The sequence below is a fragment of the Homo sapiens genome, chromosome 4, assembly GCF_000001405.40.
Source record: "Homo sapiens chromosome 4, GRCh38.p14 Primary Assembly".
NCBI lineage: Eukaryota > Metazoa > Chordata > Mammalia > Primates > Hominidae > Homo > Homo sapiens.
In genome coordinates, this window is record NC_000004.12 from 109294788 (window position 1) to 109320791 (window position 26004).

A 26004-nucleotide genomic window follows, 5' to 3' on the forward strand; every position below is an offset into this window, starting at 1 on the left:
ATTGATGTTATTTGGATAAATGTCTTGTGAGGTTCCCTGAAACAGGAAATGCCCCCCAGGGCTGCAAAGCAGTCCTGATTCTGACATATTTCCCCATCATCTCTCCATTCACCTAATCCTGTTAGTAAGAGGATGCCCCTTCTCCATCCCTAGACCTAAGCCTGACATTCAGATACTATTTTCATTAACATCATGTAGTTGATTTTGCACAATTACAAAGCAATCAGAAGCACAGTAGGATATTATGGCCCTGAGAGGCTTCTTATGTCTACATATAATTTGAATGAGCTAGAATGAATTAAACTCTATGCAGAATTTGTATCCTTCTTTTAAGTAATTCCCAGCTCATGAAAAAATAGAATTATTAAGGTAAGAAAGAGAAAAGAGTAGTTTAAGAATTAGCTTCTTAAAAACTTGTAGACAAGAGAAGCTAAGAAACAAGAACATTGCTTCAAGAGGCAATTTGTCATTGGCACTTTGGGTGACTGGGCATTTTTACCAGCTGTCACTCCTGGACCAACTAAAAGTGTTAGATCCACACTGTTGTACTCATTAGGACTGAAACAATTTAACATGGATGCTTGAAGGCACTCAGATGTCACATTGTATTGTTTGGCCTTATAAGAAGAGAGGAATGCCTGCTATTCTCATTTAAATAAAATTTATAGCATTTTAATTTGATTTCTTTCTGCAAACTGTTTCTGACTATGCTTTACCTTACATAATTGAAAATCTACACATTATTATCCCCTTACTTGATGCACTCTTTCCATAGATTGTGCAGTGTTAAGATAAAAACATATAGCATAAGTGAAAAACCATGTATACTAGGAAACACAAGTTTTATGTGAGAAAGTAAATTTATGTTAGAAAGGTAATTTAAAGGTTCTTCTTATACAATGGGAAAGAGTACACAACCATCAAGCTACAGCTAACATTTATTTCCACCCAAAAATGAGAACATAGGCAACGAGGTCAGTCACCAGGGGCAATATCATTTGCATTTATGAATCTTGCTTGCCTATGTGAATCGCTTGCCTACATGTATTCTTATTTTGTACACCATCATTTTCATGGACTTGGAATGTATAGAGAGACCTCAGAAGTTACCTAGTGTATCTTTTTTATCTCTAGTTAAACTCTCCAAGCAAATGACTAGCTGTGTTACATTGAATGATTATCACAAATGTACAGGAGCCAGGTCCAGTGGTACTGTTCAGTAAGCCAGACAAAAAGTTTCTCTCCTTATTCAACCTAACTCTCCCTATTTTCAGGAGAAAAGTAGAAGAATAAGCCATCATCCTCCTGTCTACAACAACCCTTTATATATTAAAAGTGCCTTTTTTTGTTTCACATGGGGTAAGTATACCAGGTATCAGTGTACCTCTATCTGTTCATAAATTCTTGGAGACCTAAAAGGCAAATCAGCTTTTTATCCATTGCTAGAGTTTTTATTTTCATCGGAAACCAGATTTTCTCTATTGTGAAATTCTAGAAAAGAATTATACTTTTTTCTTTATTTTCCCCAGAGAAAAGAAAAATAAAATCTTTGGGTTTACAAAAATGGAAGAGATTTTAGTCATCTGCCCCAAAGCACACTATACTTTTTCTTGGTTGCACTTGTCATACCTGTACATTCACATCATTTTTAAAGATTTGTCTGTCATCCTCATCAAAATGTAAGCTTCTTGAGGGAAGATACCAAGTCTGCCTTGTACATCAACATTTTCCCAATGTCTAGCACAGTATTTGGCATACAGCAGCCTTTTCATTTAACCTGAAGAACTGACAAATGCCCTTCAAAATCATTCTTGTCCAGCACTCCTATTTTGGAGATATGAAAATAGAAACTCTAAGAGGTGTTCTTGGAAATGACTTCCCAAAATTGCATAATAAGTTAATGACAAAGCCAGGATTAGAACTTTGGATTCTTTATTCCGCATCCACATTCTTCGTTCATTACACCACAGAGGTTCTTATACCTAATATCCTGGGCAGGCAACACTACTGATGAGTAAGATACAGAAATCTTTGTAATCTACACATCTTTTGGTTGGCTGCCTGGTTCCCAATGTTCTTTATCAGTTGAAACATAAAAACCTTCTCATAGATATGCCTGGTTTATGCATATTTTATATAGGACTCCAAGAACAGAACCCAAAACTAAATTCTACAGCCATAGCAAAGAGCCAACTTATTCTTTCCAATTAGAGTTGAATTTTACAGAGGCCAAGCCACAGATGCCAGCTGAATTTCTCTGGTTTGGTTACTGCTAAACCAAATATTCTGCTAAACACAGCTTCAATTTGTATGGAAATTTTAAGATTATTATTTTTAAAATTATCATTTTGGGTTTCTTTAAACCAAATATTTTTTAAAATAGAGCTTTTCTGACTGCATGAAAGAAATAAATGCAAGTTTCCCAGGGTGACAAGATGATCTAAAACTGGATTGTGGTGATGGCTGCCCAACTCTATTAATCTGTTTTAAAAATCTTAAAATAGGTAAATATTAAAAATTTTACTGCAATAGGCTATTTAAAATTGAAAAGGAGTCACATAATTAAGCTACTTCTTTTTGTAAACATCTGGTATTAAAACTGTAAAGATATTTTTTAATATCCCCATGGTCTTTTAAGCCCAGGTCCTATCCACTTCAATCATGGTTTACCTAAAAGGTCAAAAGTTTTCCCTGCAATTTTTGTAAGAATAATTTAGGAGACTTATATAAATATCAAAAAAGAACCAATCTTTATTTATATAGCACCAAGAAATACTGACTAGTATGATTATCTCATGAATAATCTACAGATACATTTGTTTAATTAAGTACAGTGTTCTAGTCCAAACCTGCCATTAATTAGCCACTGGGTTTTTAGCAAATTATACAACATCTCCAGGTCTCAGTTTTCCCACCTATTTCATGTGTCTCTGTAGATCACAGCAGAGCTAAGTAGCATATAATATACTAAAAAGAATAGTAATTACTATTGTCTAATGGATAGCCACTAATATACCAGACTATTTAGGTAAACTATTACCCTAAGGAAGGTATTATTAGTCTTTTTTCCTTTTCTTTTTTTTTTTTTTTTTTTTTTTTTTTTTGCCGATGAGGAAATTAGAACATAGGGAAGTTCATTAGTTTGACCAATGTACACAGCTATTTAGTACTAGATCCAGGATTCCAATCCGGAATTATCCAGGTCCAAAACCTATACTTATTCTCTATTCCTTGGTAGACTGGGCTTTTAGTTCTATCAGATGTGGGCATGAATCCTGACTTTGCCTTTACCATGTTAAGTTAATCATCTTCTCTGAGTCTCAGTTTCCTCATCTGTAAAATGAGACTGCTAATACTTCAGTCAGGGTCATTGTGAAAATTAAATTAGAGAGTACATCCCCTGCCATTAGAAGCCATTTTTAAAAAATTGTCCTTTTCATCTCTCTCTCACAGAGGTTCCTTTTTGTGCATAAAAATATATCTATAAATTCTATGATTACCCTTAGAGCCTACCTGAATAAACCTCACTGGGACTGAGTTCTATCAAAAGAAATGAGTGAACACAAACAACACATCATTGCTTCTTTGCTATCAGTCCTTGGCTCTGTGACTAAAACTGTTAACAAGAGTGTTAACTTCAAGGGGTGGGCATCTGTCCACAGGAACTGAGCTGAGGTCACAGACTTGTCTCACTCTGCCCTACAAACAGATGTCTAGGTGACAACTCTTAGTCACTGCAAACCAGGGCTAGAGCCAAACCAGGTGGAAGTGCTGAATCTCTTTTCTAATCCTCTTGGTCAGCCCATTCATTCCCTAAGACAACTCCTCACTGGCCGTATTAGAAATAAATAGTTTTCCCCAAGATATTATTTTCAACGTAATGTCCTTATTTTGATGATGTCTGATTATTCCTCAAGCAAAAGGGAGTATTTCCATAATAGCAGTTTGTCAGCAAGAAACCTGCTTGATTCTGCATATTAGAATGCACACCTTCAAATGTTTACCTTGGAAGCTGCCAGGTAAAAACTGATGTAATGTGGAGCTCTGGTGGTGGCAAGAGGTAAAGCAGCTATTAGTGGGAGCCAACAAAAAAGCCTAGGAAATCTCCATTTATTATTACGTTCACATGCTAAGATGAAAAATGGTCCAAAATAATCTAAGATAATATACAGTAAATTTTAAATGTAATAGATTTCTTTTAGATTGCAAGTTAGACTTCAGTAGCTAGCCTACATTAAACATCACGAAACAATTATATCTTCTCAAAAAATAGAACTCAATGTTGTGGTTGTCACTTTTCTATTTTTACTAAGTTTATTAAGAATTCTATTAATTAAGCACTAGCTATTTTTCACAGAGCTAGTAAGAATATTGTATACAAAAAAATGCTGGACTCTACGTGGTATGATCAGTGAAGTCCTGCACCAACTGTCCTGGGAATTTAAATAATCCCTACAGGCTGATGAGGTGGTTGAGTTAATTCCCACACTAGAAAAGTGCCTTCCTTGAATATCTGACTTCTGAGATATTTTCCAACATAAAACAACTAAGAATGAGACCTACACTGTCAAAGGTTAACTCTGTTTTTCTGGTACCTAACATATATGTCTTCTCGATCAAAAGGGCTTCATTTTAAAGATATAGCTCTATTATGTTCAAAAATTTAACAGAATATAAATAGTAAAATTTGTATAAGGTACAACCTGGAGTTGACATTTAAAATTTCTAAATGTGGTGCCTTGTGTAGCTCTGCCAAAACAAGTTATCATGAGGGGGAAACGTTTCAGAATATGAAAAAATACAAGAACTTGCCTTTTCATATATAAGCACCTAAGTATCATGTTGCTTAATACTAAAGAAATTTTAAGAGACTCACTTTCCATGAGTGATGATAAAAGAAACTATCATGTTCATAAATGTATTAACAATGTTTATCTGAAATAAACATCTCAACTCATGGGAGTTTTTCATGACTTACATGAGTTGAATCCACTAGATGTTTCCAATGGCCATATTCCAAGGGCTTCTAAATTGTTAGGTCTAAGATATCTACCAAGCCCTCAAAGGTCCATGAAGGAAGATTTAATGATTACCCAGGGGTCTTATTCATGATGTCCTTCTTCTCTGTCCTTCTACTAATATGCTGCCTTTAATATAGTTCCCTGAAGCTACACAGGAAAAAAAGGTAAAAATATAAGAGCCTCTTCTTCAAAAGTCACTGAGAATGCAAGAGTTTGTAATGGGAAGCTCAAGATAAAGAAATCATTTTCTTTCAGTCATCATCTCTAGCTATAGGATAGGAGATGGAATCTTTTTAATAGAACAGAAACAGCAGGAAAGGAAGTGAAGGTGGTTTACTAACATAAACGTATGCCAAAGGGAATAAACCAAAACAAAAAAAAAAAAAAACTCTGCACTAACACAATAAGAGCGAGCCAGGAATTCAGAATCTAACAGTTCTACAGTCCTTTTCACTGTAGACATTAAGACAATTTAATTGAAGAATATTTTTCAATCTGTGAATCTAAGAAGTTTGTCCTTGTACATCACCTTGCCTATATTTTCTTTGGTGATTATATCCTTTGCTTTCCCATAACAGGCCTTGGTATGCTGCTTAAAATAATATTTGGGGCTTTATTTGCCATCCTTTTGAATGAGACATGTTGATTTTATTAAAGCAAGTTGGGTCTGCATTCTTTCTTTACTATTATTACAGGTAGACTTGACAGACACAGGACCTTTGTTTTAAAATGCTCTGCTCTGGAGGAAACCTTGTTAAATAAGTTCCATTTTACCTGCTGGGCAGTTACATTCTGAAGGTGCTTCTCTTGCGATTCTTATTTTAGCCATATGTTCATAGGATTTCTGTAGGAAAAGAAGAGTTATTAATAATCATCAGTAGCACTGTAGAGGGATGGAGTCTTTAGGGACTCTGGCCATACGCCTGATTTACCGGCATTTCATAACCTGCATAACTAACATTTACATATGTACTTGGACTCTAGTCAAGAAAGTAACCATGCCTAAGTCCTAAAAAAAGAAAATGACCACTGATAGGGTATCAAGATTGCTGGACTTGTATAACATCTTTCTCCATTCTTCTCTACCACCACTCTCTCCCTCAGCTCAAGCATATGCAGTCAATGTAAAAACCTAGCACTAAAATGTTGCAGTATTAGGTAAGCTGTGGCTTACCAATAACAGCCAATATTTTATACATGAAGGTCAACTGCTTTATTTATCATGCTAGGCTGCAACTACTGCCAAATAGGCTCCCGGCTAGGGTAAGGTTCCAGAAAACCCCCTTACTCTAGTCTAAAGGTACCCTTACACATAACATAGATTCCTCTCAACTCTCAATTCCAAGGGCTCTGCATTCATAAATACCCCGGCACTGCATCCTTTACCAAAAATAAAGCTACTTTAAAAAAAAAAAGTTTAAACTTTTAATATGAAAAGATTCAACGTGTGAAATTATTGATTTTAAATTATATATGACATTATTTTACATTTAAGAGTGATTACCTTTTTTATATATTAATAACATCTATGACCCTAACCATCTTACAACATGTAAAAGATTTAACAGATGCTATCTCTGCAAGAAATATTCTCTCCACAATTGGGTTTGACTTAGGACAACTAAAAAGAGATAAAATGCCCTTTCCGAACCCTTTTAGACCTTCCTATGTGTTTAACACGCAAACATTAAGAGAGAGTGAGGGAAGATTAGAGATAGGGATGGGGACATCAAGGGATGTGCACATATAAATATATGCTACAGTGAGCATAGATCCTTGGCCAACACATGCACGCGCGCGCACACACACAGCCACACCAAGTATGGGTACAGTAAGGGTAGCGGCTAGTCATGCACACAGAGTCACGCTTGTACAAGATGTTACCCACGTGCAAAATACCCCAGCCTCTCACACCTGAGCCAGAAGTCGCTCCACTTTCTCTTGCACCATAGTCTTGAGGTGATCCAGGGTATCAGGCAGCAGATGAATGGAAGGGGCCCCTTTGGCGGATTCGAGAGCGGCGATCCTCGCCTGGAGGTCGTTGGTTTTCACACCCAGGTACAGGCAAGACACCACGGCCACCACTGACAGGAGGGCCGCCAGGACGGCACACGGGGGCATGGTCCGGGCACAATGCTGTTCGGCAGGGGTCGGGTCCTCGGATCTGGGCTCCCGGCCCCCTCCTTTCCCTGCGTGCTTCTTCAGCAGCATCGTGGCGGGGTCGGCCGTCTCGGCTTCGCTTCCCACCCTCTACACCTCAAATAATCCTAAAAGGAAAGAAAAAGGTCGATTCCTCCAAAGTTCAGTCCCTGTGGCTGCACAACTAGTTGGTGGAGTCAAGCCCACGAGCGGATACGGACCCCTGCCTTGCTCAGCGTCCAGACCCGCAGGCGTGCACCATCCCCGCTTTCTTCTCTCCTCCCAGCTGGAAGTGAAAAGCACCCTCCGTCCGGGGACTGGGTGGCGGTGGGGTAAAAAGCAAGACGAAACCCACCCAGACAGCTCTTCCGACTCCCAGAGGACCGACACCTCTTTCGAGGGCCCCAACAGTGGCCGCTCAGGGTCCGAGGGCAACGGCCGAGGCGCCACGCGGGGCCGCGGCTCGCCCTGGCCACGGAGGACCGGACCTGTTGCGCCTCTGTGAGTTTGCCTTATTTCTACCTACTCGGTGTCTTTCGGCACGCCGACCTGTTTCCCACCTGCATTCAGTTCAAGGCAAAAAGGCTGTGAGAGCACGCTACAGCGCAGCGCGAAAGGGGCGACTAAGGTGGAGAAGAGAGAGGAAAACGAAATAAACCCAAGGAACCAATGCTACTCGCGAAGCCGAAGTCGCGGCTGCCCGAAGGATCTCCGCAGCCCCGCGTGCGCGATCCTTAAATACCCTTCGCGATGCTCGCGTGAGTGTGTGTGTGAGTGTGTGAGTGCGCGCGCGCTCCGAGCACGACGTCCCTCCCCCGACCCCCTCCCGGCGCCCGGCGTCCGGCCTGCCGCTCCCGCTGCTGCGCGCCCCCCTTCCGAAGGCAAAGCAGGAGCCCGCCTTATTATCATAATGTATTCACCTTGGCCCAGCCCGCGGGCCGGCCCGGGGAACCCCCAAGGGAGGCGGGAAGCTTGGGTGGGAGCGGGGCAGGAGGTCTGTTATTAGCATAATGTATGCAAATAGCTGGAGCGGCCACCGTGATTGGAGAGGAGCCTGGCGACCCCTCCCCCTGCGCGGAGTAACTTCAGCATCTCCGAGGGCCACCTCTCTGGCCTGGGCCGGGGCCGAAGCGGGGTCGGCTGCGCAAGAGGCGGCAACTTTGGCTTATACTGACTCAGCCCAGCGCCCCCTTTTTATCCCACATAAAAATGGAGAAATGGCCTCCGGGAGGAAGATGTGAAGCGGCACGCTCTATCTCTACTGATCTTCACTCAAAAGCAGCCGCAGGAGCTGTTGCTATCTCGCTGTGGTGCAGCGCTTTTCCCTCCTCCCTCACTTTCCCACATGCCCAGAGGCAAAGTGTCTGGCCGACGTCTGAGGTACATTTCCCCACTTCCCTTCTCTTCCCACTGCAGCCCTCAGATTGTCCAACGAGGGGAAGTTTTCCTTCCCCTCCCCCAGTTTCCTTGTCTTGACGGCACTGAGTCTCCTCCCAGCTCTGTATTCCTAGTCTGTACTAGGGTGCTAATGTGTTTTCCTGATTCCCTGTTTTGCGGGATTGGAAAAGGGAGTGTTGAGGTATACACATTTCTCAGGATTTAGGAAAGGAATGAAGAATGAAGTCAGTTTTTCCTTTTACCTGACTCTTAATGCTGTTCTCTCTGGATCAAATTACAAGGTCTCTAATGGGATTTTGGAAAGTTGGTAACAAGTAGCATTTGACATCTAATTGACTTTGGGGAAAACAGAAATCCCACCTCTTATTCCAAAGAGTTCCTTCTTATCTCCCTATAAAAAAAAAAACCATATATTTTTCCTATTCTCCTTAATTAAGCTAACCTGAAGTCGTTGCTTACTATTGTAAACAGTCAACAAAATACTTCACTAAGTTGGTCTTTCACATGTGTAAACGGATATTGCTAGGTGTGAAGCAAGGTAAGGAAATAACAGCATTAGAGGAAGAAAGAGACTAACATTGGAGGAAAACTCAATGAATTTGGCTATAAAGTCAAAACCATAATTCATTTGTATTACACAGTGGTTCTCAAAGGATGGTCCTAGACCAATAACATCAGCATCACCTGAGAACTTGGACATTAAAATTCTAGGTTCCTACCACAGATCTGAATCAGAAACTGCTACTACCACTACTGAAATAATAATTTTAAAAAAAACAGCAATCTGTGTTTTAACAAGCCCTCCAAATGATTTTGATATATACTACTAAAGTTTGAGAACCACTGGTATAATACTTTCCAAAATATTTTCAAATACTTTTTGTATTTGAACCTCATAACCCTGCGATGTGAGGATTTACTGTTCCTCTTTTAAATATAAACAACGTTTTTAAATAAATTTTAAAACAGATAAATTTCAAGTCACATTTAATTGTGATTAAACATGTTTCCAATAACAGGACCCAAATAATGGGTACAAATATTTTAATGTACAAACTCTTTCTGTAACCTCTAGCTGTTCCTTAGTCTCATTTGCAGGCTTTTCCTCTTTCATTTCTCTGAAAGTTGGTGCTCCTTGGGTCTCTGTCTATTCCATCTTCTCTGTATACTCTCTCCAGTAGAGTTCCCATTACACTGATGAGTCATAAATTCATATCAAAAGCCCAAACCTCTCTCCTGAACCTCAGATCCATATAGCCAGTTGCCTCTTTGTCATCTCCGTTTGGATGTCTCACTCTCATTTCCAATGTAACCTGCAGCTTACCTCCAAATTCTGTCTGCTTCCTCTGTTTCCCATCTCAGCCAATGGAGTTGCCATCCATCCAGTCTCCCCAAGCCAAAATACCCAGTTGCCGGCCCTGACTTCTCCCTTGCCCTCCTCTCCTCATCTATTTAGAGTCCTTCAATAATTCTGGTTGTCCTTAGGACAAAGATCTTACATCTTTCAACCCCCACAACAAAGCCCCCTGTCTACCATCTCACTAGCCTCATTGCTCATTCTTCCTCTCAAACTCTCCACATCAGTTTCTCTGAAGTATGGAGACAATGAGAATAAAGAGCTTTTTCTTTTGGACAACATACCACTCTTAAAATTTCAGTAGAAAAGCCATTTTCTGTCTTGACTGATGCCTACAGTAGGTTACACATTTAATTTGGATGATGCAATGTTCTTATAGCATGCTTTGTGTAAATTGGCCATGAGAAGGTACATTAACAACTCTGGCAAGCCTTCAGCACTATTAGATCTTAGTAGAGAGATAGAGTTGGAATTTTGTGGCTTTGAGATCTTTATCCAGAGGATTAGATTTGCTTTATGTCTTTGGTGGGCACAATACCTCAGAAATTTACCAGCCATTAGCGCTAAGATTTCAAAACCTGGTAGACTCTCTGCATCAAGCACAGAGAACGTGTGGATCAACAAAGCTCTGAGGATTTGAACGCATGCTGTTCTGTAGATTGATCAAAGCATAGTTATTTTGGTTCCCATGTGGAGGCTTCCAAAAAAGTAAAAATAGTACTAAAAATGCTATAGTCTAGCTGACTCCAATTTGCCTGACTAATATCAATGGTATTAATAGTAAAATGCAAACAGCTGGCTATAGGACAGGTATGCAGTGGGAAGAATAATGGACACCCAAAGATGTCCATGTCCTAATCTCCAAAACAGTGAATGTGTTACCTTGCATGCTGAAACAGATTGGCAGATATGATTCAGTTAAAGATCTGGAAGTGGGGAGATTTTCTTCAGTTATGTTGGTGGGCCCAGCGTAGCACAAGGGACCTTCTAAGTGGGAGGGAGGGTCTCAGAGTGAGAGGCAATGTAACAACAAAAGCAGAGGTGAGAGTGATGTGAATACTGGTGTAGAAGATGGAAGGGAGTCACAAATCAAGGAATATAAGCAACTTCCAGAAGTTGCAAAAGATGAGGAACAAGTTCTCCTCTACAGCCTAGAGAAAGAACACAGCCCTGCCAACACCTTGATTGTAGGACCTCTGGCTATCAGAACTATAATTAATGTTTGTATTGTTTTAAACCACTAATTTGTGATAATTTGTTACAAGAGCAAAGGAAACCAATATCATCGCAATCACAGGAAATCAATGTTCATCTGCTACAGCATAAGTGATATTGGAACCACCATAATGCCCTATAACTCAAGCAGGCCCTGTAGTAACAAAGCCCTGTCTGTCAAATGTTTATACATTTCTATTTCATTGATATGCCCACTGGGAAAGGATCAGAGAGATATGCCCTCTCTCATGTCATGTAAAATTAGGATGCCCTTTATGAAGGCATATTAAACTGAATAAAATAATTTGTTTCCTTGATTCCTCCCATTAATGCAACTCAAAAACAATAAATCATCCAAGCTGTACAGTCACTGTCATCTCTCCTCCCTACTAATGCTAGCCTAGCCAGGATCCTGACCCAGGACTCAGCATTGCTACTGCTTGTTTTGTTTATTTATTTATTTATTTATTTTGAGAGTGCATCTCACTCTGTTGCCCAGGCTGGAGTCCAGTGGCATGGTCATGGCTCACTCCAGCCTGGACCACCTGGGTTCAAATGATCCTCCCACCTCAGCCTCCTGGGTAGCTGGGACCACAGGTAATCACCAGGCTAATTTTTTATTTTTTGTAGAGATAGGGTCTCACTGTGTTGTCCAGGCTGGCCTCGAACTCCTGGACTCAAGTGATCCTCCTGCCTTGGCTTTCCAAAGTGGTGGGATTACAGGCATAAGCCACTGCACCCAGCCCACCACTAGTACTATTGTTACCAATCTCCATGCCAGAAAAAATGAAATAAAGACTAATGACAGAGAGGCACATCAGGAAGTTTAATAAAGAAAGCACCTGGAGAAAGAGCAAGAAAAGATAAAGCAGAAAATTGAGACAGAAGAAAGGAGCTTTTTAAGTGGGTAAAAGTGTTCATTTTTAAAAAAGAAAAAGACATAATCCACTCCTGTATACCTCTAAGAGGCTAATCTTTAAAGGAGATAAAGCATAGAAGTGAGGAACTAACGTATATTAAAATTTCTGATGGTTTATGTGTATTTAGAAAGATTATCTGCCCAAAGTAAACAGCTGAGATAATCATGGTATGCTCTTTTTAGATATTAACTACATTGCAAAAAAAATTTTAGTTTCATTAGAAAATATATTTTAGCACCATTAGTTTTTGAGGCTTGGGTTTTTATAACCACAATTTTAACCTAAGTTCACCAACAAAGCTATCAAGCAGAAGCGAATGTATGAAGAGATTTGTGGCCATCTTTTTTTTTTTTTTTTTTTTTTTTTTTTTTGACACTGAGTTTCACTCCTGTTGCCCAGGGTGGAATGCAATGGCATGATCTTGGCTCACTGCAACCTCTGCCCCCCGGGTTCAAGCAATTCTCCTGCCTCAGCCTCCTGAGTAGCTGGGATTACAAGGCATGCGCCACCACGCCCAGCTAATTTTGTATTTTTAGTAGAGACAGGGGTTTCTCCATGTTGGTCAGGTTGTCTCGAACTCCCAGCCTCAGGTGATCCGCCCACCTCAGCCTCCCAAAGTGCTGGGATTACAGGCGTGAGCCACCACGCCCAGCCTGTGGCCATCTTTATATACCCACAACCACCAGTTACGTCCACTAAGTACCTTAATAAAGAAAATGGGAGAATACACTGTGTATAGTATTAAGCATGTTATTTTATATTCTTCAGATGGGAACGTGAGCTCATGGAAACATCTTTTAAGAAGACAAAGTTTCCTAAAGGGAATGGAGTAGGCAGCAAAGAGTTAAGTGAACTGAAACTTAAAAGATGCAGTTCTCCCACAGCCAGGCAAATTTCAATAAATCATAAACAAATTATAAATATCTTTAGGAGCAGAAGAGCAGAAAAGAAGGATTTGACTCTTAGTGACAGGCTGAAAAATTCTTTTTCAAACAGATCAAGGAACTGATCCCATTTATACAAGCCTGGTTAAGCAAGGGGCTTACAACTGTATGAATGCAATAATCTGGATAATACAAGCCCTCCAAAATATCAATCCTCTGTGCAGAGTCAGTTTTATGTTTGTTGTTTGTTCTTGTTTTGTTTTATTTGGAAGGAGGAGGTATTTTTTTTCTTCAAATCTTAAATAACAAGTTAATAGCCCCACTTAATGGGTTCTTCCCCAAAAGTCACCAATTATATTGCTAACTCAAACAAGAGGCAACTTTTCATTGAACTTCCAAATCAACTTTTTCTTATAATGCTACATACACTGAACATGTTCATATCATTGAGTCAGCTCGTGATTAAGAACACAGAACCCAAGCCCAGTCTGCCTGCATTCATTATCCAGCTCTGCCATTTAATAGCTGTGGGACATTGGGTAAATTACTTCACTTTTCTATGCCTCATTTTTCTGGGCCGTATATAAAACAAGAATGATAATACTTAACCATTAGGATCTTTTGCTGGAGTGGTTTGTGAAGGCATTACAATGCCTGGTAGATATTAAGTGCAATATACATTTACCTCTTGTTGATGCTATTGTTATTATTTAAATAATATATATTTAAAGTGATTGATGCTATTTAAAGTGTCAGTTTATTGACCCATAGACACTGAAAGGCAAGAACAATGTATACAATTATGCTATGGGGCAACGGTATATCCTAATCGTGATTTCAGTCCTAGTTCAGTTTACAAGTATAAAATAGCATCAGGGCAGCATTTCAGCTACTGGATGATTTGGAAAAGTCCCTACAACAGGCAACCATTAATGTATTTGATATCATTTTAGATTAGTTTTGCCTGTTTTAGAGCTTCATATAAATGGAAGCATACAGTATATAGTCTTGTTATTTGTTTTTGGGGGGGTTTTGGGGGGTTTTTGTTTTGTTTGAGACAGCGTCTCACTCTGTCTCCCAGGCTGGAGTGCAGTGACATGATCATAGCTCACCGTAGTCTTAAACTCCTGGGCTCATGTGATCCTCCCACCTCAGCCTCCTGAGTAGTAGTTAGAACTACAGGCAGGTGCCACCGTGCCCAGCTAACTTCTTTTTTAGAGATGGGGTCTCACTATGTTGCCCAGGCTGGTATTAAACTCCTGGGCTCAAGTGATCCTCCCACCTCAGCTTCTCAAATTTTTGGCATTACAGATATGAGCCACTGTGCCCAGCCATAGATATTCTTATGTGCCTGGCTTCTTTTGCTCAACATGTTTTTGAGATTTGTCTATAGTGTTATATTTTGTTCATTTTTATTGTGACATAATATTCCACTGTTAGAATACACCATGACTTGTTCATCTGTTCCTTTGGTGGGTATTTAAATTGTGTCCATTTTTTGCTATATAAATAAAACTGCTATGAATACTTATAAATAAGTTTTTATTTTGTGTATTTCAAAAACAGAGAAAACAATTTCATTTCACTTAGAGATGATGATTAACTAAGACACTTTTTATAAAGAAGAACAGAAAAGAGAATGTGATTCTATCAGATAGTAAAATATATTATAAAGGTATAGTAATTAACACAGTTTAGTATTGCTTCAGAGACAGAAATTAAACCAAAGAAGTAGAATAAAGCCCCACATATATATAAGTACTTAAAATGAGAATGAAATAACACTGCAGAGGGGTAAGGAAAAGGTGAACTTTTCAATCAATTTAGCTATAAATTCACACAGAAAAAAATGAAATTAAATTTTTCTCCATAGAATTCACAAAAGTTAAAGGGAGGTGGTTTATAAACCTAAATATAAAAGGTGATAATATGAGGGATCTTCAAAAAGTTCATTGGAGATGCATGTTTTGAAAAAACTATGCATGGATTTCGAAATATTTTGCACCAAAATAAACTCATACTAGTTTGTTAGACCATATCTTAATAGGATCTAGTTTGAGGCATTAAGGATAAAACGTCAGTTTGAAAAAAGTCCGCATCAGAATAACAGGAGTTCTCCTAAAATTGAAGCAAGTAAAGATACCAAATTTATGAAATTTATGGTGAAGCTAGGTGGAAGGATCGTGAAATCATTGATGTTTTACAAAAAGCTTAAGGAGACAGTGTCCACAAAGAAATCAGCAATTTGCAAATGGATAACTCATTTTAAGAAGGGACAAGATGGTTTTGAAAATAAAGGTCCAATTTATCATCACAAATACTTCAATTTGTGAGTGTAAACCGAAAATTCTAAGTCCCCCATCCAACTGCATGGACCCCTCCTCTCAGCCAAGGGCATTCTAAGGTAAACCTGAAACACTAGTTCAGGCTATCCTGGGAATGGGTGGTCGGACATGCCTCATTATACCTTTCTCCCATTAAAATTCAGGCACAGCTGACCAGCATTAACATTAAAATGAGACCGTAAGACCGACAGAACAGTCTTTTTATAGCAAGAAGATACCAACATGACAGATAGCAAGGCCTGTTAGAAACCAAAGTATTTTACCCCAAAATATGTTTCTTTGCCATTTCTTGAAACAGCCCTGCAAAGTTGTCTCTTGTGGGGCAAATCTACATTTTGTGTAGAGAATCCCCTTCCCTTTTCAGGCATTTTTCCTGATCCAGGAGAGAATCAACTGGGAGTTTGGAACTTTTTTAAGTCTGGAAAGAAACATTTGCAACCTGTTCTCTCTGAAGCCTACTGCCTGGAGGCTTCATCTGCATAATGGAAACCTTGGTCATCACAACCCCTTATCTTAGCCCAGGCATTCCTTTCTATTGATTCTAGGTCTTTAGACAGTAATTTAACTCTTTCAACCAATTGGCAGTCAGAAAATCATTGAATTCACCTATGACCTGGAAGCCCCTGCTTTGAGTTGTCCCACCTTTTCAGACCAAACCAATGTACATCTTACACGTATTGATTGATGTCTTACGTCTCCCTAAAGTGTATAAATCTAAGCTGTAGCCTGATCATCTCAGGCACATGTTCTTAGGACTCCTTGGGAATGTGCCCCAGGCTATTAGTCGCTCATATTTGGTGCAGAATCAAACTCTTCTTATATTTTACAGAGTTTGACTCTTTTCATTGACATGAGAAAAAAATTAATGGTGTTCATCCCCTAATTGAAAAGGACCAACAATTAAGAACAGAGACAATAGCCAACATCATAGACATTGCGATTGATTTGGCTTACACAATCTGACGGTAAAATTAAAGTTGAGAAAATTTTCCACTCAGTGAGTGCCAAAACCACTGCACCCAGATTAGCTGCCAACAGTAGCAAAGCTTTCAATGAAAATGTTAAACAAGTGGGATCAAGATCCTGAAGCATTTCTTTGAAGAACTGTAACAGGAGATGAAACATGGCTTTACCGGTATGCTCCTGAAGACAAAGCACAATCAAAGCAATGGCTACCAAGAGGTGGACGTGGTCCAGTCAAAGCAAAAGCAGCCCAGTCAAAAGCAAAGGTCATGGCAACAATTTTTAGGGATGCTCAAGGCATTTTGCTTGTTGACTTTCTGAAGGGCCAAAGAATTATAATATCTGCTTATTATGAGAATGTTTTGAGAAACTTAGCCAAAGCTTTAGCAGAAAGATGCCCAGGAAAGCTTCACCAGAGAGTTCTGCACCATGGCAATGCTCCCGTTTATTCTTTTCTCATTTAACAAGGGCAAATTGGGAAGAGTTTCTACAGTCCTGATTTGTCTCCTTCTGACTTCTCTTTGTTTCCTAATCTTTAAAAAATCTTTAAGGGACACTCATTTTTCTTTAGGTAATAATGTTAAAAAAGACTGCATTGACATGGTTAAATTCCCAAGACCCTCAGTTCTTTAGGAATGCACTAAAGAAAGGTCTGGATGATTGATGACAAAAGTGTCTAGAACTTGATGGAGCTTAATTTGAGAAATAAAGTTTATATTTTTTATTTTTACCTTTTAATTCCATTATTCCGTGAACTTTTTGAAGATCCCTTGCATAAAGCATTTAAAAGATAATAAAGGAGAATGTAATCATGACCTTGGATTGAGGCAGGGTTTTCTAAATAATATACGTAAAGAGCTAGCCACAGAGGAAATGATTGATAAATTGGAATATATTAAATCAAGATCTTCTGTTTATTAAAAAAACTTAAAATGATTGAAATACAAGACAAAGAATGAGAAAAGATATTTGCAAAATATAGAAATGAGAAAAGACTATTATCTAGAATGTATAAGAATTCTTGCAAATCAATGCGAAAAAGCATCAGACAACCTAATAAAAAAAATTAGCAAAAGCTTAAATAAGCACTTTTATAAGTGAAAAATAAAAAACAGCCAATAAACATTTTTAACTTTTATTTTAAGTTCAGGGGTACATGTGCAGGTTTGTTACATAGGTAAACTATGTCACAGGAGTTTATTGTAAAGATTATCTCATCACCCAGGTATTAAGCCTAATGTCCATTAGTATTTTTCCAAATCCTCTCCTCCATCCCACCCTCCACCCTCTAGTAGGCCTCAATGTGTGTTGTTCCACGCTATATGTCCTATACTCTCATTATTTAGCTCCCAGTTATGAGTGAGAACAGGCAGCATTTGATTTTTTGTTCCCATATTAGTTTACTAAGGTTAGGCATCCAACTCCATCCATGTCCCTGCAAAGGACATGATCTCATTCTTTTTTGTGGCTGAATAGTATTCCATGGTGTATTTGTATCATGTTTTCTTTATCCAGTCTATCATTGATGGGCATTTAAGTTGATTCCATGTCTTTGCTATTGTGAATAGTGCTGCAATTAACATACACATGAATTTTTTTATAATAGAACAATATATATTTCTGTAGTTATATACCCAGTAATGGGATTACTCGGTCAAATGGTATTTCTGTCTTTAGGTGTTTGAGGAATCACCACACTGTCTCCCACAATGGTTGAACTAATTTACACTCCCAACAACAGTGTATTAATGTTCCTTTTTCTCCACAACCTTGGCTGTGATAGCCACAGGAGATAGACAAATTTCTAGGCAGACAGGATGGGTCCTTGGTGAAACTCAACCTTCAAGCCAAAGACAGTCTAAAGCCTGAAAACTGAGCTACTAATTCAGGATAGAAGCCACAGATCTGAGTGAGAACTTCCATCCCCACCTTATCCACTGTCTCTCAATAGGTTCTTTCTGAATGATGCCTTTTAACCAATTGAATGGTGTCTTTTCCAAGCCCACCCATAAACCAATCAGCACACGTTCCCCTATTCTAAGCCCATAAAAACCCTGGACTCAGCCTCACTGATGGCAGTCTACTTTTGGGTCCCCTCTTGCTGAGGGCTTTCTTTCTGTCACTCAATAAAATTCAACTCTGCCTTACTCACTCTCCAATGTCCATGTACCTCACTCCTCTTGGTCATTAGACAAGAACTCAGAACTCACCAAACTGCAGGAGTGAAAGAGCAGTAACGCTCCCTCCCACTCGCTGAACTACGGGAGTAAAGAAGTTGATTGGTGCCACTCTCTCCCTCTCGCCAAACTACAGGAGTGAAGAAGCCACTGGGAGCCACTCCCTCTCACTCACCGAACTATGGGAGTAAAGAAGCTGCAACATTTCTGGAGGCTCGTCCAGGTCTTCAGAAGGGTGAGTAAGAGCAGACCTGTGACCCTTTACTTTCATTTCTGAGGACTCTCATCCTCACTTTTTTTTCGAAAACAGATAAAACACCAAGTCTCTGTTAGACAGTTAAGGGTGAATAGACCAACTGCCAATCTACAAGACTCAGAGGACAGACTTGCTCGGGAGGACATTGTCAGTCCCCCTTCATCCTTGGGTGTTGGGAATGTTGGCCTTGTTCCAATCCAGTTTCCTTTCCTGGAAGTCTAGCCATTACGTAGGTTGGAATAAAGTCCTGAACAACTGAAGGTATCTGGCCAAGGCACACTTTGGTGTTACCTGAAGACTCCTGGACCAGCTCCAATCCCCCACAGCCCATTCAGGTGCCAGGCCAAGGCTTTCAGTCCTTCCTATCTAATTTTCTTTCTTTCAAGAGTGTCCTGACTGCTATCCCCTATTTATAGACAATGTTACCGGTGTTTTTGCAACGAAAAGAGATACTATTACTGGATAGAATGAGGACTTGGCTTAGTCATCAGGAGTGTAATCCAGAACAATGTTGCTTCTGTCTATTCTTAGAAATAGAGGGATGTAACAATTAAGAGAGTTTTCTTTCCCCTGTTGAAGAAACTCATTACCACAGAACAAGAGGCTATTTCCCCCAGCCACCTTCCCTCCTCTGCATTTAAATTGCTTTTTTCCACCCTGTCAGAGTCAACATAATCCTGCGAATACAAGGAGCTTTTCCATGCAAGGGATTAATGTTTTCCTTTTGGGAGGCATCTTATTAGGCCAGGTCCCCAATTCCCAGGATTCCCTTTCTTTCCTTTGTTTGAGGAGGATCTGGTTCCACACCTTCACCTTAGTATTACTCCATTGTATTTTCCAAGCTTCGATTTGGAGCCCTATAAAGAAAACTAGATTTGAGGGACCAAGAGGCAGTCAACAGCAAAAGGCTAGGGCACAGCACAGGTAAGAATGACTATCCCTGCCAATTAGGCCTTCCCACTTCATGGGTGGAGGTGATGTTCATATCCATGATGTAGACACCACCAGCCCATCCATGGCACCAGTACTAGGTGCTGAGATTCAGGGGGTGACTCAAATTCAAGAGGATAGAGAAGAGTCTAAAGGATACCTTTTCTCCCCTCTCTCTTTTCAGATGGGTAACAAACTATTTTCAGCCTGCACTCCTCTAGAGTGCATCCTGAATCACTGGGAATCCTTTGACCTGCAGATTCTGAAGAGAAAATGCTGTATATTCCTTTGCACAAGGGCTTGGCCAGGTTATAAGCAGCAGGATGGAGAAGCCTGGCCTCTGGAGGGAAGTATCAACTTTAATGCTAACCTGCAGCTGGACCGTTTCTGTAAACATGGAGGCAAATGGTCTGAGGTCTCATACATGCAGGTTTTCTTTGCCTTGCAGGATAATCTGGACCTTTGCTGATATTGTAGGATAGATCCAGCCTGCCTAGCAGTCATCTCAGGAGAGGCTGCAAAGGACAGTCCCAGGGAAGTAAACCCCAGGGAAGTAAATTCCAGGGAAGTAAACCCCAGAGGTGCCTCCAGCAGGGGGATCAGACCCCTCCAGTCCTACTCCTGGTCCATCATGTCCTCCCTATCCAGGTTCTCTCTCAAGCTTGTCCTCTCCTAGGAATCCTCGTTTCAGGCAGGTCCCAGCCTCACTCATGGCCCTACAAGAGATGCCTTGTGAATATGGCCCCATTAAGGTATAGACGTGTTTACTCATGTCTTTTTTCTACAGGACTTAAGACAAATTAGGGGGGATCTTGGTAAGTTTTCAGATGACCCTGAAGGGTATACAGAGGCTTTCCAGAATTTAAACCAAGTATTTGAACTCTCCTGGAAGGATGTTATGTTACTTTTGAATCAAACTTTGACTACCACTGAGAAGCAAACAGCCCTGCAAGCAGCAGAGAAGTTTGTGGATGAGCTTTGTATCTCATACAGTGCCAAGAAAGGGAGAGGATATGCAAGAAAAAGACAGAAAAATCTATTGGCCACCCTGCAGGCTTACAAACCCCAGAATCCCAAAGATGCACCTGTTAACTGCGACAAATGTGGCAAACCAGGGAATGTTAAAAACGACTGCCCAGGCAGCATGAGGAAGCCAGCTCGACCCTGTCCAATCTGTGGTGGGGACCACTGGAGGGTGGACTGTCCCCAGAGATGCAGGTCACTGGGTCCAAAGCCAGTCTCACAAGTGTCTAACAGGATTGATGGGCCCCAGGGCTCCTGTCCCTGGCTCTGACAGCTCAGACTGCCATTACCATCCAGGAGCCCTGAATGATTCTGGAGGTCAAAGGGAGGAAGGTGAACTTCTTCCTGGATAGCAGAGCAGCCATTTCTATTCTCCTCTCCAATCCAGGCCTCCCTTCTTCCCTTAGCATGACCATGAAGGGTGTCTCAGGAAAGCTTTTAACCTGATATTTTTCCAACCCCTTAGTTGTAGTTGGGGAGACCTCGTTTTTACTCATGTCTTTTTAATCATGCCCGAAAGCCCAATTCCTCTGGGAGGCAGGGATAGTTTAGCTTATATGTGAACCACCATCCTTATGGCTCCAGGACACACTCCTTGCCTCCCCCTGGTGGAGACTGATATCAATCCAGAAATTTGGGCAATTCAAGGGAAAATTGGCTGAGCCACAACCACCATACTGATCTGGATCCACCTTAAGGATCCCACCTCCTTCCCTAACCAGAAAAAAAATCCCCTAAAACTAGAAGCTAGGAAAGGGCTAGAAGCCATCATTGATAACTTCAGGATGCAGGCCCTCCTCAAACCCTGCAACAGCCCTTCTAGTGCCCCAATATTGGGAGTACAGAAACACAATGGGGAATGGAGACTGATCCAGGACTTCTGCCTCATTCATGAGGCTGTAGTTCCAATTCATCCAGTGTTTCCCAATCCCTATACCTTCATAACTCAAATACCTGAGGAAACTAAATGGTTCACAGTCCTGCACCTAAAGGACACATTTTTTTGCAAATTGCTACATCCTGACTCCCAATATTTGTTTGCATTCAAGGGTCTCTCCAACTAGACCACCCAGTTAACCTGGATGGTGCTACTCCGAGGATTCTGGGGTAGTCCTCATCTGTTTGGACAGGCATTCTCAAAAGATCTCTCTGGGTTCCTTCATACTTGGGTTAAAGTTTTACAAAATGTAGATGACATTCTCCTTTGTGCCCCAACTGAGGAAATCTCTCAGGAAGACACTAAGCCTCTTCTTAATTTTCTAGCTAACAGAGGATATGAGGTCTCAAAATCTAAGGCTCAGCTCTGTCAGACTTCAGTGAAGTGCTTAGGTCTAGTCTTGTCAGAGGGGACCAGGGCACTGGGTGAAGAAAGGATTAACCCTGTCTCCTCCTTTCCCTTCCCCCAAACCCTCAAACAACTGAGGGGATTCTTGGGCATGACAGGATTCTGCAGATTATGGATACCTGGGTACAATGAGATAGCTCATCCCTTGTATCACCTAATAAACTCAGGCAGCCAAGATCACTCCGGAATTTGGGAACCAGAGGCCAGAAGGGCCTTTGACCAATTGAAATAAGCCTTGCTTGGGGCACCAGCCCTTAGTCTTCCCATAGGGAAGTTGTTCAATCTTTATGTATCAAAAAGGAAGGAAATGGCCTTGGGAGTTCTAACCCAGGCCTGAGGTCCAGCCCAGCAGCCTGTAGGCTACCTAAGCAAGGAGCTTGATTTGGTAGCTAAAGGATGGCTAGCCTGCCTTCCAGGCAGTTGCAGTGGCAGCTTTGCTAGTGCCAGAGGCTACTAAGTTAACCATGGAGAATAATAACATAATGTGGCAGGACTGCTGTCTTCTAAGGGGAGTCTCTAGCTAACAGACAACTGCCTCCTCAAATATCAGGCTCTGCTATTGGAGGGATCTACAGTTCAGTTAAGGACCCGTCTTGGGGCCAGGCGCGGTGCTCACGCCTGTAATCCCAGCACTTTGGGAGACTGAGGCGGGCAGATCGCAAGGTCAGGAGACTGAGACCATCCTGGATAACACAGTGAAACCCCTTCTCTACTAAAAACAATACAAAAAATTAGCCAGGCGTTGTGGCGGGCGCCTGTAGTCCCAGCTACTTGGGAGGCTGAGGCAGGAGAATGGCTTGAACCCAGGAGGCGGAGCTTGCAGTGAGCCAAGATCGCCCCACTGCACTCTAGACTGGGAGAGAGAGCGAGACTCCGTCTCAAAAAAATAAAAAAAGAAAAAAAAGAACCTGTCTTGGCTAACACGTGAAACCACGTCTCTACTAAAAATACAAAAAATTAGCCAGGCGTGATGGCGGGCGCCTATAGTCCCAGTGACTTGAGAGGCTGAGGCAGGAGAATGGCGTGAACCCGGGAGGCGGAGCTTGCAGTCAGCCGAGACAGCACTACTGCACTCCAGCCTGGGCGACAGAGCGAGACTCCGTCAAAAAAAAAAAAAGAACCTGTCCCTGTCTAAAACCAGCCACCTTCCTCCCAGAGGAACCTGAGGAGACTGAACATGACTGCAAACAGATAGCAGTGCAAACCTATGCAGCCAGAGAGGCCCGCAAGGAAATCTCCTTAGAGAACCCAGACTGGACTCTCTTTATGGATGGAAGTTCTTTTGTAGAACAAGGGATCCATGAAGCAGGGTATGCAGCAGTCACCTTGAATGACACTATTGAGAGTGCACCTCTCTTCGGGCACAATTTCTCAACAGCTGAGCTTGAGGGTGCTTGAATTAAGCAGAAGGAAAGCAGTTGGCATTTATACTGATTATAAGCATGCTTTTCTAGTCCTTCATGCTCATCCCACTATCTGGAAAGAGAGACTTTCTCACAGCTAATGGGTTTGCCATTAAATACTATCAATAAATTAATAGACTATTATCCTCAGTTTTCCTTTCATGGGAAGTGGCAGTAATACATTGTAAAGGCCACCATAGGGGATGGATGAAAGAGCTGAGGGAAATAAACTGGCAGACCAAGCAGCTAAATCAGCAATGAGAGGGTCCCAGATTTCTGATCCACTTGAAGCCCCTCTGATCTAGGAGGGCTCTGTAACAGAAATAAAAAACTCAATATTCTCCTGCAGAAACAGAATGGGCCACCTCTTGGGGATACACCTTTTAGCCCTTAGAGTGGCTACAATAAGAGGATGGCAAACTTCATCTACCAGCTTCTAGCCAATGGAAAGTTCTTAAAATTCTTCACCAAGCCTTCCACCTGGGAAAGGATAAAACCTATTAATTGGCCCAAAGGTTGTTCTCAGGTAAAAAATCTGCTAAAATGATCAAACAGCTCATTAATGCTTGTGAGACTTGCCTTAAAAATAATCCTCTCAATTGATGGCCTCTCTCAGCAAGAACCCAAAGAATGGGAGGCCACCCAGGAAAAGACTAGCATATAGATTTCACCCATATGCCAAAGATAAGGGGCATCCAGTACCTCCAGGTTTGGGTAGATACCTTCACTAACTGGGTAGAAGCATTTCCATGTTGAACAGAGAAACCCAATGAGGTAATAAAAGTACCAGTTGATGAGACAGTTCCTCACTTTGGATGCCCTAAGTACCTCCAGAGTGATAATGGCCCCTCGTTCAAGGCAGCTATCACCCAGGGGGTCTCAGAGGCACTAGGCATACAATACCATCTTCATAGTGCTTAGAGACCACAATCCTTGGGAAAGGTAGAAAAGACAAATGATATTATCAAAAGGCACCTCAGAAAACTGTCTCAGGAGACTCATCTCCCCTGGATTACTCTTCTTCCTATTGCCCTACTATGTGTTAGAAACACCCCTTTGAAACTGAGGTTAAGTCCCTTCAAAATGATATATGGACAGCATTTTCTCACCAATTATTTATTGCTAGACCAAGAAACTTCTTATTTGATTAAACATGTAACTTCTTTGGCCCATTTCCAACAGGAACTGAAACAACTATTGGAGGCCCAATCCCGTGAACTAGGGGCCCACTTTATTCAACCCAGGGGACCTAGTACTGGTAAAGGCTCTTCCTTCTCTTTTTCCCTCTCTAGGCCTGGATTGGGCGGGAACTTAGACTGCACTTCTTTCTACTCTTTCAGCAGTAAAGGTCACTGGAATAGATTATTGGATTCATATACTCAAGTAAAGGCCTGGAGAACTGACAGAATGACTTCTGTTGACCCAGAAGAGCACCCGAAGTACCAATGTGAAGAGAGACCTTGAGCTGATGATCAGAAAAGATAAGTATCAATAATTAACCTTCCATGGATATCCTCTTTATAGTCTTGCTTATACTTGTTCTTCTTGCCTTTGTTCTTTTCCTCACCATAAGGCATATTTGCCAAGGATCCCTTAATTCTGAACACCCATGAGATTATCTACTCTCCTAAACTGCTATCTCTTCTAAAATGTAACTGCCCTCCCCTATACAAGATTTTATTTATTTCACAAGGGTGAAACAGCTCTGGTCACAACATTGTTTTCAGAATGACTAGTCTATTTTACTTCTTGTTTCTGTTATCTCTCGCATTGGCATGGATTTTTCCCTTTTAGCTCCTCTTTGTATAATCTCATAATTGGTCCATGAATACTTAACCTTCTTGTAAAATTTGTTTCTTCTCACCTAGAGGCCATCGAATGGTAAATGGTCATGCAAATGGAGCCTTGAATGATGGCCTTCTTTTTACCAGGGACCCTTAAATAGGCCTCTGAGAGAGATCCGACTGCCATTTTCCCAAAACAATGCCCCCTGTCAGCATGAAGCAGGTAGAGTAGTCATTATCCCTATCCTAATGGCAGCTAGATATACCTCTTCAGAGGGGGAATTGATAGGGACAGGAGACAGACAAATTCCTAGGCAGATAGGGACAGGTCCCTGGTGAAACTTGACCTTCAAGCCAAGGACAGTCTAATGCCTAAAAACCAAGCTACCAGTTTTGGATAGAATCCATGGACCTGAGTGAGAACTTCCATCCCCATCTTACCCACTCTCTCTCGATGAGTTCTTTCTGAATGATGCCTTTTAACAAATCGAATGGTGCCTTTTTCAAGCCCACCCATAAGCAATAAGCACATATTCCCCCATTCTAACCCCATAAAAACCCTGGACTCAGCCTTACAGATGGCAACCCACTTTCAGGTTCTCTTTGCTGCTGAGAGCTTTCTTTCTGTTGCTCAATAAAATTCTACTCTGTCTTGTTCACTGTCCAGTGTCTGTGTACCTAATTCCACTTGGTCATGAGACAAGAACCTGGAACTCGCCAAACTGCAGGAGTGAAAGAGCTGTAACACTCCCTTCTCCTCACTGAACTACAGGAATGAAGAAGCCACTGGGTGTCTCTCCCTTCTGCTCGCTGAACTATGGGACTAAAGAAGCTGCAACATCAG

General features: G+C 41.1%; 1 protein-coding gene and 1 long non-coding RNA gene across 8 annotated transcripts in view, besides 1 other annotated feature; one reads left to right on the forward strand and one right to left on the reverse strand.

Annotated features, from left to right (window-relative positions):
• The window catches only part of COL25A1 (collagen type XXV alpha 1 chain), a 493934-nt gene extending 486063 nt beyond the window's left edge, over positions 1 to 7871 (reverse strand). For 3 of the 7 annotated variants that reach the window (NM_198721.4, XM_011532333.3, NM_032518.4), the window contains exons 1-3: positions 7382 to 7871; positions 6936 to 7288; positions 5796 to 5865 (exon numbers count right to left, since the gene is read on the reverse strand). In NM_198721.4, the coding sequence (NP_942014.1) occupies positions 5796 to 5865; positions 6936 to 7232 (367 nt within the window). In that variant the 5' untranslated portion in view covers positions 7233 to 7288; positions 7382 to 7871. Of the gene's footprint in view, positions 1 to 5795; positions 5866 to 6935 lie in introns of all 7 variants that reach the window. The other 4 variants (NR_045756.3, XM_011532334.3, XM_011532335.3 and 1 more) reach the window with 3 other exon arrangements.
• Positions 7943 to 8725: an enhancer, noted in NCBI's record as "OCT4-NANOG hESC enhancer chr4:110223886-110224668 (GRCh37/hg19 assembly coordinates)". NCBI's record gives its function as "activates a minimal SCP1, AML or CMV promoter by ChIP-STARR-seq in primed H9 embryonic stem cells {active_cell/tissue: H9 hESC(primed)}" and the evidence as "EXISTENCE:reporter gene assay evidence [ECO:0000049][PMID:30033119]".
• On the forward strand, positions 8248 to 21348 carry COL25A1-DT (COL25A1 divergent transcript). The gene is made up of 3 exons (NR_160939.1): positions 8248 to 8540; positions 18556 to 18654; positions 19790 to 21348. It is a non-coding gene; the product is annotated as a COL25A1 divergent transcript (long non-coding RNA).
• Positions 21349 to 26004: the final 4656 nt, after the last annotated feature.